Genomic DNA, 12,178 nt, shown 5'->3' on the forward strand with positions numbered 1-12,178 from the left:
ATATACCTCTGAGTGCCTTCTTCCCCAAAACCACCAGTGCCATACCTGCTGTCAGCAAGGGTGTAATATACTGTAGTGGTAAATATGACCACAAGTCATAAATGACTGTGGGATGTATGAGAATTACAAGTCACATTAGTAAGAAGAGAAAAATTTTGGTCATGTTTATGATTTGAAATATGTTTTCTTTTATCACATTTAGAAATATAGTTATAAAATATTCTCTTTTTTTGTCCTGATCCATCATGGTCACTGAGGAGCATCGTCTCATATGCCCGGTATGTGACTTGTGTCTCTCCAATGGTAAAAGCCTTGGCCTTGGCCAGACACTGTGGCTCACGCCTGTAATCACAGCACATTGGGAGGCTGAGGCAGGCGGATCACCTGAGGTCAATACTTTGAGACCAGCCTGACCAATATGATGAAACCCCATCTCTACTAAAATTACAAAAATTAGCCAGGTGTGGTTGCATGCTCCTGTAATCCTAGCTAGTCAGGAGGCTGAGACAGGAGAATCGCTTGAATCTCGGGGGAGGGCAGAGGTTGCAGTGAGCCAAGATGGCGCCATTGCACTCCTGCATGGGCAACAAGAGTGAAACTCCATCTCAAAAAAAAAGACTTGGCCTTGTGATGAGGGGAGGTCAGCTCTAGACTCTTGGACCGGGTTTTGCCTTACTTATTCTCTAAAGACTAAAATATTTCCTAAAATGTATGGGCACTGTTTACTAGAAAGTACCTTAGTTAAAACATACAAATTCATTTATGCCTTATAAAGCTATATTTTTTCAAATTGTTTTACTAAGTCATAGGAAGCTAATACAGTTGTGTAAATTGTCTGAATACAAGCCTTTCTTTCTCTGATAATGTGCTGTTGATGCTAACTTGTCAACAGCCTGCTTATCTCAGCAGTGTAAAGTTAACAGCAACGTGGAAAAGTAACTTTTATATATTATGCAATGGCATAGAACAATTCAGTCACTTCCCTTAAGGTACCAATGAAGCTGCTCTTCAGAAACCCTTATTTAAAAAACACTGTCAAAATCCAGGCACCAAAGGATGCAGCATCAATCATTGACCAAACCCTATCTGTGTGTGGAGATGACATACCCAGTCTCAGATAATGCATCCTCATCAGTGAAGGGTGGAGTCATTGATTGTCAGATCACACAAAGTGACTCACAGCAGGGAAGACAGGGCAGTGGCAGAGATGGGGGCACCTGACCAGGTGCAGTGGCTCACACCTGTAATCCCAGCACTTTGGGAGGCTGAGGCAGGTGGATCACTTGAGGTCAGGAGTTGAAGACCAGCCTGGCCAACATGGTGAAACCCCATCTCTACTAAAAATACAAAAATTAGCTGGGCATCGTGGTGTGTGCCTGTAATCGCAGCTACTCAGGAGGCTGAGACAGGAGAATCACTTGAGCCTGGGAGGCAGATGTTACACTGAACTGAGATCACGCCACTGCACTCTCTAGCCTGATCAACAGAGCGAGACTCCATCACACACACACAAAAAAAATTAAAAAAGAGTTGGGTGCACCTGGATCTAACCCCTGTCTCATCCTTCTGCCTTGAAGGCCAAATGCACCCTGATACTTTTCACCAAAGAGTAGAAACACCACCATCCACTTGACCCCAAATGTGACTTTCCACAGGATGCAAGCACAGTGTTGGAATAGCCAAAGACAGTAACAATAGAAGTGCAGGGTGAGGGTGATGAACAGGACACACTGGAGAGCCTGACATTGGCCTAGACTACGGGGGTGTCTTGATCCTTCACAAAGAGCCCAAGGAGCAACCCAAAGAGACACTGGAGCACAGGCCCAAAGGGTGTTCATATGCCAGGAAGGCCACTAATTTTAGAAGGCAGTGATGTTGGTTCCTGTTGGAGTCCTGATCCTTTATAACATATGCTTTTCTGCATCTGGTTAGACAAGGAAATCTGCAATTTTTGACTTGCAGCATTTAGAAATAAGTTATTTTAGCAATCCACACACTCGTGGTTTATTCTGAACTAACTTGAGACAAACAGCTACAGATAGGGAATATCATGAGTATTTCCAAGACTAAAACTCTTCACAAAGTCAGTGGGACCCTCTCATGGGAGGGTTTTAAGACCCACAATAAAAAAGGTGGGGAAACATTGAGTGGAAAGAGGGCAGCAGGTCAGGGGCCTTCCCCAGAGGCCTAACACACCCAACATTACCCTGGATGAAAACAAATACATACCATAACATCACACTTTCTTCAATGTGTAACAGAGAAAATGAAATGTATTCAAAGGTAAGCTTTCAGAATTCCACTTTACACAATTAATAAGGTTTTAATATTACTCTGTGTTGATGTTAAGGAATTATTAAATATGAACAGCATTTTCTGGTTATATATGGAAAATACCTTGATTTATGAGGTATGAAAATGCTCATTTTTACGTATGCATGTTTTACTTTTGTGCTTTTTTTATAAAACAAGGTGAAAAAACAGGAAAAAAATTTCAGATCAAGGAAGTTAAGCAGATTAATAGGAGAAAAGTTATACAAATTTATTTAACATGTATATATGGGAGCCTTCAGAATGAAGACCCACCCAACAATAAGACAAAAACTTATATACCATTCCAGGGTAGGAAAGAATGCAGATGTGGCATGGCCAAAAAATCCCAGGTTTGATGGGTAAGTCAAGTTTAATAGCAAGACAGATTCTGCAAGAGGAAAGGAAGAAGCTTGGCTAGCAAAGCAGACCTTTTTATGCAGATGAAGGCTCCCTCAGAGAGAATAGGTGGGAAATTCTGCTTTTCATTCAGACTTTCATTTAGAATTTTAAGTAATAGAGTCAGGATTATGCTATGTTGCTTGGGTTGCTCTCTAATTGTTTGTCTCAAGCAGTCCTCCCAGCTCAGCCTCCCAAAGTGCTGGGATTCGAGGCATGAGCCACCATGCCCAGACAAGGTTTGTCTCCTTATAAAGAATTATTCATTGCTGGGCACAGTGGCTCACATCTGTAATCCCAACAATTTGGGAGGCCAAGGCAGGAGGATCACTTGAGCCCAGGAGCTCAAGACCAGCCACAGCAACATGACGATTCCCTCTCTCTACAAAAAATACAAAAAATTAGCTGGATGTGGTGGCACATACCATATCCAGGAGGCTGAGGCAGAAGGAGAACCAAAGCCTGGGAGGTTGATGCTGCAGTGAGCTGTGATTGTGCCCCTGCACTCCAGCCTGGGTAATTGAGTGAGGGCCTTTGTTAAAAAACAAAAAACAAAAAAAATTGTTCACTTATTGCAGCTTCAGATTTTTTTTAATGAATTGTAAATTGCATTTTCATTACAATTGGAAAGATAAGAAAATTTTGCACAGAGCCCAGATAAAGACAGATTTCAGAAAAATATCATTTGTCTTATATAGAGTTTGTTTCAAAAAAATTTTTTTTTTTTTTTTTTTTTTTTTGAGACAAAGCTTTACTCTTGTTGCCCAGGCTGGAATGCAATGGCTCAATCTTGGCTCACTGCAACTTCTGCCTCCCAGGTTCAAGTGATTCTCCTGCCTCAGCCTCCTGAGTAGCTGGGACTACAGGCGCATACCACCATGCCTGGCTAATTTTTGTATTTTTAGTAGAGACTGGATTTCACCATATTGGGTAAGCTGGTCTCAAATTCCTGACCTTGTGATCCGCCCACCTCGGCATCCGAAAATGCTGGGATACAGGCGTGAGATACCGTGCCCAGCCTGAAAATTCTTGTTTAATTTTTTTCTTCCTTAGAGGCCGTGTAGTACATTTCTTGGTCTATCCTTTTTCGTGGATGATTTCTTTTTCTTTCTTTCTTTTTTTTTTTTTTTGAGACAAGGTCTGGCTCTGGTGCCCAGGCTGGAATGCAGTGGCACAATCTCAGCTCACTGCAGCCTTCATCTTCCAGGCTTAAGCTATCCTTCCACCTCAGCCTCCCTAATAGCTGAGACCACAGGTGCACGCCACCATGCCCAAAGTGCTGGGATTACAGGTGTGAGCCACCGTGCCTGGCCATTTATGCATCATTTCTAACAGTTTCAGGGCTTAGCTTTGGGAATGCTGCTTGGGAAAAGAAATAGGGAAAATCTTTTATTACAGCTGGAGAAAAGGAATAAACTTCTACAACAAAGTATAGTAGATAATCAGTGAATTACAAAGATTCGGAAAAATATCAGTCCTCCTTTGCAGGTTGGAGAACTTGTAACGGTGGATAACTCTTCTCTTCCTGTTATCTGTGGGGTAAGACCTGGCTGGCAACTGTTGTGATATGTTTATATTCACATATGGTTAATGTGTAGTATGTGCTTTGTTATGGAAATCATAATGAAGTAATAATGTCCACCTTAATAAGATAATAAAATTCAGATAATATGATTAAATATTGAGTTTATGTGAACACAAAGTTTGAGGGTAGCCACTGGGGAAACACATCCTGAAGAGTGGGGTCACTGCTCCCACTCTTAACTGGAGAAGTTAAGTCTTCACTTCTGTAGGGCAAAATGAAGATGCTTAATAGGGTTACATTTTCCATACAAAGCCAATGCATATATTTCAATGATTTCATTGGTTGCCGCTTGCCAAATTGCAGCTTACCAAATTTCAAGGATGATTGCTTTAACTTTTTGTAAGGAGGGGTAGTGGTATCAAAAGGATCCTACCTCTGGCACTTCTCAGTGTTTTCTAATGACTTATAGCCCAAGAACAAGGAAGAGAGTTAATCTTTTTGACATGCACACGGAAGGAGCAATTACATGGTAGCGTAAACACATTTCTCAATATGTTTATTGAGTGAAAGGGTTAGATACTTTCCCTGATGAGGGGTGATAGGTAAGTGCCTTATAATTTCCTTCCAGCCTATAATAAACCGAGTTTGAGAGATTTTGCCGGATTCTTCAAACACTGGGTATTTTCTCATTGAAACAGAGGCCTGAGTCCAGTGACTGCAAACTAAAGCCAGTGAGAAACCTACAAAGAGAGGTCATTGAAAGCTCACACCAGGCGCAGTGGCTCACACCTGTAATCCCAGCACTTTGGGAGGCCAAGGCAGATGGAGCATCTCAGGTAAGGAGTTTGATACCAACCTGGCCAAAATGGCGAAACCCCATCTCTACTAAAAATACAAAAATTAGCCAGGTGTAGGGGCTCAAGCCTGTAATCTCAGCCATTCGGGAGGCTGAGGCATGAGAACTGCTTGAACTCGGGGCGGAGGCTGCAGTGAGCCAAGATCACACCATTGCACTTCAGATTGGATGACTGAGCAAGACTCTCCAAAAAAATAAATAAAGCTCACCTGGTTCTTCCCATGGTGCTCCCACTGCAGGTGTTTTCAGCTGCTCAAATTGACCATGGGAGGAGCGCTTTATACTGACAGAACCTCAGATCCCTGGAAAGCTAGGGATCCACAGGCAGATACAGTACTCAGTGATGCCCTCCGCAAGTGACAGTTTTTGTCATGGAGCTTTTCCTAGACGTTTCTAGTGAAACAAATGTAGGTTTCAGTAAGAAATAAGTTTTTTTTTTTTTTTTTTGAGATGGGGTCTCGCTCTGTCGCCCAGGCTGGAGTGCAGTGGCACGATCTCAGCTCACTGCAACCTCCACCTCCCGGTTTCATGCCATTCTCCTACCTCAGCCTCCCGAGTAGCTGGGACTACAGGCGCCCGCCACCATGCCCAGTTAATTTTTTCTATTTTTTTTAGTAGAGATGGGGTTTCACCATGTTAGCCAGGATGATCTCAATCTCCTGACCTCGTGATCTGCCTGCTTCGGCCTCCCAAAGTGCTGGGATTACAGGCGTGAGCCACCGTGCTCAGCCAAGAAGTAACTTTTAATTACCTTAATGACCCTGAAATCAGCTTGTCATTAGGAGAGGTCATAAAAAGAGTCTAGGTACTGAACTTGCAAGTAAAAATAAAAATATTAAATAAATACATAAAGTGGGGTTGCATATAAGCCTAGAAGGGATCAGTCAAAAATTCAGGGGTGGCTGGGTGTGGTGGCTCATGCCTGTAATCCCAGCACTTTGGGAGGCTGAGATGGGCAGATCACTTGAGATCAGGAGTTCAAGACCACCCTGGCCAGCATGGTGAAACACCATCTCTATGAAAAATATAAAAATTAGCTGGGTGTGGTGGCACACACCTGTAACACCAGCTAGTCTGGTGACTGAGGCATGAGAATCACTTGAACCAGGGAGGCGGAGGTTGCAGTGAGCCAAGATCATGCTACTGCACTCCAGCCTGGGCTACAGAACAAGACTGTCTCAAAAAAAGAAAAAAGTTCAGGGACCTGGAGGAAGGAGAGAAACTGAAGCATGCTTTGGTAGATAGATATTTCATTTTGACTAAAGATCACTAAAGAGAAAACTGTTCACCTAATGGTTTGTGAGGTAAATACTGGAATATCTAGTGGGTGTCTGGTTTGTCATAGGTAACAAACGTGGCACCATCTAATTCACCATGGGAAGCTTGTTTCATTGTAGTAAGGTGCTCTTGCACAACACAAAGGATGGGGGATTTCATGAATCACAGCCATTTTCAGGATTGCCCACCCACCCCCATCTCCTTTCCACACCCCTTACTCTTTTTCTATCCATGTCTCTGATTTGACTCGTCCTGAGTTGTATCCTTCATAGTAAGTGGGTAAATATAAGTGAACTGTGGGTAGTTCTATCAAATTATGGAACTTGAGTAAGGTGTTGTACAGGACCCAGGTCTAGATGCAGTTGCTGAGAAGTACAGGTGGCCCCTAGGGCTTTGAGTGGCATCTGCTGAGTGGGGCTGTGTTGGGTGAGCCAGGAACTCATGGAGTCTCTGCTAACTCTGGGTGGCTTCTGAATTGAGTGGTTGCATGACTGCTTAGTGCTGGAGAATTCGCTGGTGTTCAGCAAGCACCACACATCTGGTGTCAGAAACAAAAGACACCATAGGTCAGAACCTTCCACTGACTCACAGTGAGCGAGTGGTCTTTGGTGGGCATTGAGACCCCGGTGGAAGGACTGTGTCCACACTGTGGGGAGGGGCTACAAGGGTGTTAGTAGAAGTCCCAGAATTAATTTTCTGGCTGCTCACATTTCCCTCACACACTGCCTAGGAGTGGGCCAGCCTGGCCTGTGTCTCCACAGTCCAAGTGGTTCCTAAGCTTGGGAATGTGTAACTATTGGAGTGTGGGTTTCCTTGTGAGCTGTGGGTGAGGCAGGCTGCCTACCTGAGCTGCCTCCGTTTTGTTTCTTTTATAGAATCTTGCTACCATGGAATTGCTCTTTCTGCATGCATCAGATCATTCATTCGTTTGTTTGCTCATTTATTTATTTATTTATTTTTCAAACAGAATCTCACTCTGTCGCCCAGGCTAGAGTGCAGTGGCGTGATCTCGGCTCACTGCAACCTCTGCCTCCCAGGTTCAAGCGATTCTCTTTGCTCAGCCTCCCAAGTTGCTGGGACTACAGGCACATGACACCACACCTTGCTCATTTTTGTGTGTGTTTTTAGTAGTGACAGGGTTTCACCATGTTGACCAGGCTGGTCTCAAAGTCCTGACCTCAAGTGATCCACCTGCCTCAGCCTCCCAAAGTTCTGGGATTTCAGGCATGAGCCATTGCACCTGGCCACATCTGAGAATTTTGTTTTATGATTTGGGTGTTAGGATTTTAATTAGCTGGTTGGAACCTTAATGAGTAGTTTGGTAACCTTTGCAGAAGGAAATAGTTTTTTAATAAGCTGTTTTATGCCAAGTCAAAATAATAACAATATGAATACTCAGACACATACCACCCCAAAAAATAAATAGGCCTTGGGCAGTTCTGGTGTGTCTCCTTGGTCTCACTTATTTTTGATATGCAAAGGTGATCAAAGTTTTGATTCTTTTTGTTATTCTTTGTATCTTTGTCATCTCTTTGTCACAAAGCAGAATTTTCCCACTTTTGAATTCTCAGTAACATAATGTTACCATTAATACACCATTAGTATTATGCTGAGAGGGTGTGTTTCTGGGTTTTTTGCCTGAGCCTGTTGTAGACATGCTGCTCTGTGAAGTTGTGGGTCATGTAATTGATTCTCTTATTTCGCTGCTTAATGGGACTTGAGTTGGTTCAAGTCTATCTTTTGATCTTATTGATAGTACTCTTCTTGTTTTTGTCCCTAATTGGAAATAATTGCTGGCTTGTAGATTATGGATAAATTCAAATTTACTATGAAATGTCGATAGAGTATGAATGTAACTTCTGAATTAACCATCTCACCTTTCATGCACGTGTCTTTATTCTTGTGATTTGTCAACACTTTGAATTATCTAACTCACTTTTTGTTGCCCATCTACTCTTAAGTAGAATCTCTGTAAGATTATGTATTTTTTCACTGGTTGCCATTGGTTGAGCATTTTTCCTATATGATCTTTCATCTTCTGTGTTGCAGTTCCCAGTCATCCTCTTACATTTGACTAATTTGTAGTGTTTTTTTTTTCTTTTTTTTTTTTTTAGACAAGAGTTTGGCTCTGTTGTCCAGGCTGGAGTTCAGTGGCGTGATCTCACCTCACTGCAACCTCTGCCTCCTAGGTTCAAATAATTCTCGTGCCTTAGCGTCCCGGGGCGCATACCACCACCCCCAGCTAATTTTTGTATTTTTAGTAGAGATGGGGTTTCACCATGTTGGCCAGGATGGTCTCAATCTCTTGAACTCGTGATCTGCCCGCCTTGGCCTCCCAAAGTGCTGGGATTACAGGCGTGCGCCACTGCGCCCGTCTCTTGTTTTCTTGTTTTTAATTTGAGACAACCTTGCTCTGTAGCCCAGCTGGAGTGCAGTGGTGTGGCCACTCACTGCCCACTGCAGCATTAAGCTCCTAGGCTTGAGCAATCCTCTCACCTCAGCTTTCTGCCCAGATAATTTTTAAAAGTTTTTTGTAGAGACAGGGGTCTCAGTGTTTTGCCCAGGCTGGTCTCAAACTCCTGGGCTCAATGAATCCTCCTGCCTTCGCCTCCCAAGGTGCTAGGATTGCAGACATGATCCACCACGCTCAGCAATGAGCGGTTTTTTTTTTTTTTTAAACCAAGATATCTGTACATGTTTCTGACAAATATTTTATTTAAAATCTTTAACAACTGCATACTAACCAAGGTTATTCTGTTTTTCATTTTCATTATGACTACTTGTTTTTCTTTCTTATTCTCATTTTTTACCTAATTAAAATAATTTACCATGTAGTGGCCCTGGCATGCATTTTGCTCCTTCATACAGTCATACAGCTACCTCGATGTCCCTTCTTTCTGCCATTCTGAAATTGGACCTCATTCCTTGACTCTTGCTCCCCATCTGCTATGTGATAAAGTCCTGTCTGATTACATTGTCTCCAAAGCCTCTTTTATAGACTTCCATTTGCCCCTTGGCATGTCTTGCATTTACTCTCCTCGAAATATATACTTAGAGGCCAGGTGTGGTGACTCACACCTGTAATCCCAGCACTTTGGGAGGCCGAGGCAGGAGGATCCCTTGAGCCCAGGAATTTAAAACCAGCCAGCGCCACAGAGGGAGACCCTGTCTTAAAAACAAAATTTATATGTACAAGCCCTAAACCCCAACACGGTCATATTTGGACACGACGAACCTTTTAGGATATCACATAACATTTATAAAAGAGGGCCCTCATAATGGGATTAGTGAGAGAGAGAGAGAACTCTGTCTCTCCAACATGTGAGGACAAAGCAAGAAGGCATCTAGCTGCAAGCCAGGAAGATAGCCTTCACTAGGAACAAAATTGCTGGCAGCAAGATTTTGGATTCCCCAAGCTCCAGAACTGTGAGAAACAAATTTCTGCTGTTTAAGAAACTGAGTCCATGGTGTTTTGTTATACTAGCCTGAGCTAAGTCACCCCAAGAGTCCTCACATTAACCATATACTGTCATACAAGTGCTGCATTTGGATCTACCTGGAATGTCTCCAAATTTTCTGCTTTTCCTCTTGGACCCATTGTGAGAATAGGTTTGCTTCACAGGAAACTGCTGGTAATAGTAGTGATAGCCTAACAGCTAGGGACAAAAAGGAAACTTTCTTTTTCTTTTTCTGAGATGGAGTTTGTGCTCTGTTGCCTAGGCTGGAGTACAATGGCGCGATCTCAACTCTCTGCAACTTCTGCCTCCTGAGTTCAAGGGATTCTCCTGCCTCAGCCTCCAGAGTAGCTGGGATTACAGGTGCGTGCCACCACATCTGGATAATTTTTGTATTGTTAGTTAGAGATGGGGTTTCACCATGTTGGCCAGGCTGGTCTCGAACTCTTGACCTCAGGTGATCCACCTGCCTCGGCTTTCCAAAGTGCTAGGATTATAGGCGTGAACCACCACGCTTGGCCTCTTTTACACACACACACACACACACACACACACACACACACATATATATTGTTTTCTTTTTTAAATAAAAATAAATAGAAACTAGGTCTCACTATGTTGCCCAGGGTGGTCATAGCCCAAGATTTTGGTCTCCAGCGATCTATCTGCCTTGGCCACCCCAGTGCTGGGATTAAGGCGTAAGAAACTGTGCTCGGCCAAATGAACGAAACTTAGTGGGAGGACGGGCGTGGTGGCTCACACCTGTAATCCCAGCACTTGGGAGGCTGAGGGGGGTGGATCACCTGAGCTCAGGAGTTCAAGACCAGCCTGGACAACATGGTGAAACGCTGTCTCTACTAAAAATACAAAAAATTAGCCGGGCATGATACTCCCACTCTCATAGTGAGAGAAAGATTCTTTCTTAAGGATTCTACCTGCTGGAAAGCATTATATACTGCCAGCACTTGTTCAATACAAGACTTTCTGGTTTCATCTCCATGTCCTGTTTCCCAGGCTGGAGTGCAGTGGTGGGATCATAGCTCACTGCAGAAACTCCTGGGCTCAAGGGATCCTCCTGCCTTAGCCTCCCAAGTAGCTGGGAATAAAGGCACATGCCAACATGCCCGACTGTTTTTAAATTTTTTTGTACATATGGAGTCTCACTATATTGCCCAGGCTGTTCTTGAACTCCCAGGCTCAAGTGACCCCCCCCCACCTCAGCCTCCCAAAGTGCTGAGATTACAGTCATGGACCAATACTCCCAGCCCTGAAACAGATATATTTCAAAGGGAGAACATCTAATGTTCAAGTTGGTATCTATAGAGCAGTTAACCGGAACTATCATTTAGGGTCTGTGGGATTCTAGGACACTAGGTATGAAACAAATATGAGGAAGGTCAGAGAACAAGCTGACTTAATGATTAATGCTGAAGGTGCTGCAAGCTTGGTTTAAGTTTTCCTCCTCCCATCCTCCCTGATGAATTTGATAAAGTTTAAAGGGATGGTTTCACCAGGGGCTTTTTCCATTGACTGCAAGGAGGTCATCCTGCCTGGTAAATCCTCAGTAGGCCAAGCCTCTTATGTGGCGGAATGATCCAGTCGATGAGGAAATATCACCACCTGTTATGTTTTACAATTAGACCATCCAAGGGGGTCAGGGTTTCCCCAGGTAGTTTGGTGAGAGAGAGAGAGAGTGTGTGTGTGTGTGTGTGTGTGTGTGTGTTTTGAGACAGTGTCTTGCTGAAGTGCAGTAGCCTGATCATAGCTCACAGCAGCCTCAAACTTTGAGGCTCAAGTGATCCTCCTGCCTCAGCCTCCTGACTAGCTGAGACTATAGGTACACACCACCTCTCCAGGCTAATTCTAAACAAAGATGTATGGAGTTGGGAGGGTCTCACTTCACTGCTCAGGGTGATCTCCAACTTCTGTCTTCAAGTGCTCCTCCCACTTTGGCCTCCCAAAATGTTGGGATTACAGGCGTGAGCCATGGTATCCGGCCTCCCAGGCTGTTGTTGAAAGGTTTTTGCAATCTCTCAGAGTTATGCAGCAGTTTATTCCCTCACAGTGATACTCTCATCCTTTGACCCCATTTTGCAGCAGTGGTTGAGCGTTCACTTTTCTTTCCATAAGGGGGTGAGCTTGCCGGTGACTCTCTTCCCCCTCCTCATCAATGACTTCTTTGTCATCAGAGCCTTCCTCTTCATAAATTCCCACGGAATCCAAGTTTTCACGTCCCAATCGGGCTTAGTTATGATAGCCACAGGCCCACACCAGCTGCCACAGCACCCCCGTCCCATGGAAACCGCCCGACTCTCTTCTCCCCAAGCGTCCTGTCCCGGGAGCCCCCATCTCTGC

At 43.8% G+C, this 12,178-nt stretch overlaps 1 protein-coding gene and 1 pseudogene across 1 annotated transcript in view; one reads left to right on the top strand and one right to left on the bottom strand.

Moving 5' to 3' along the window:
* The window catches only part of ZNF69 (zinc finger protein 69), a 92,441-nt gene that overhangs the window by 63,791 nt on the left and 16,472 nt on the right, over positions 1–12,178 (top strand). The gene's annotated exons all lie outside the window — the stretch shown is intronic.
* Positions 1,617–1,902, bottom strand: VN2R21P (vomeronasal 2 receptor 21 pseudogene; annotated as a pseudogene).

This window comes from Homo sapiens, chromosome 19, assembly GCF_000001405.40.
Source record: "Homo sapiens chromosome 19, GRCh38.p14 Primary Assembly".
NCBI lineage: Eukaryota > Metazoa > Chordata > Mammalia > Primates > Hominidae > Homo > Homo sapiens.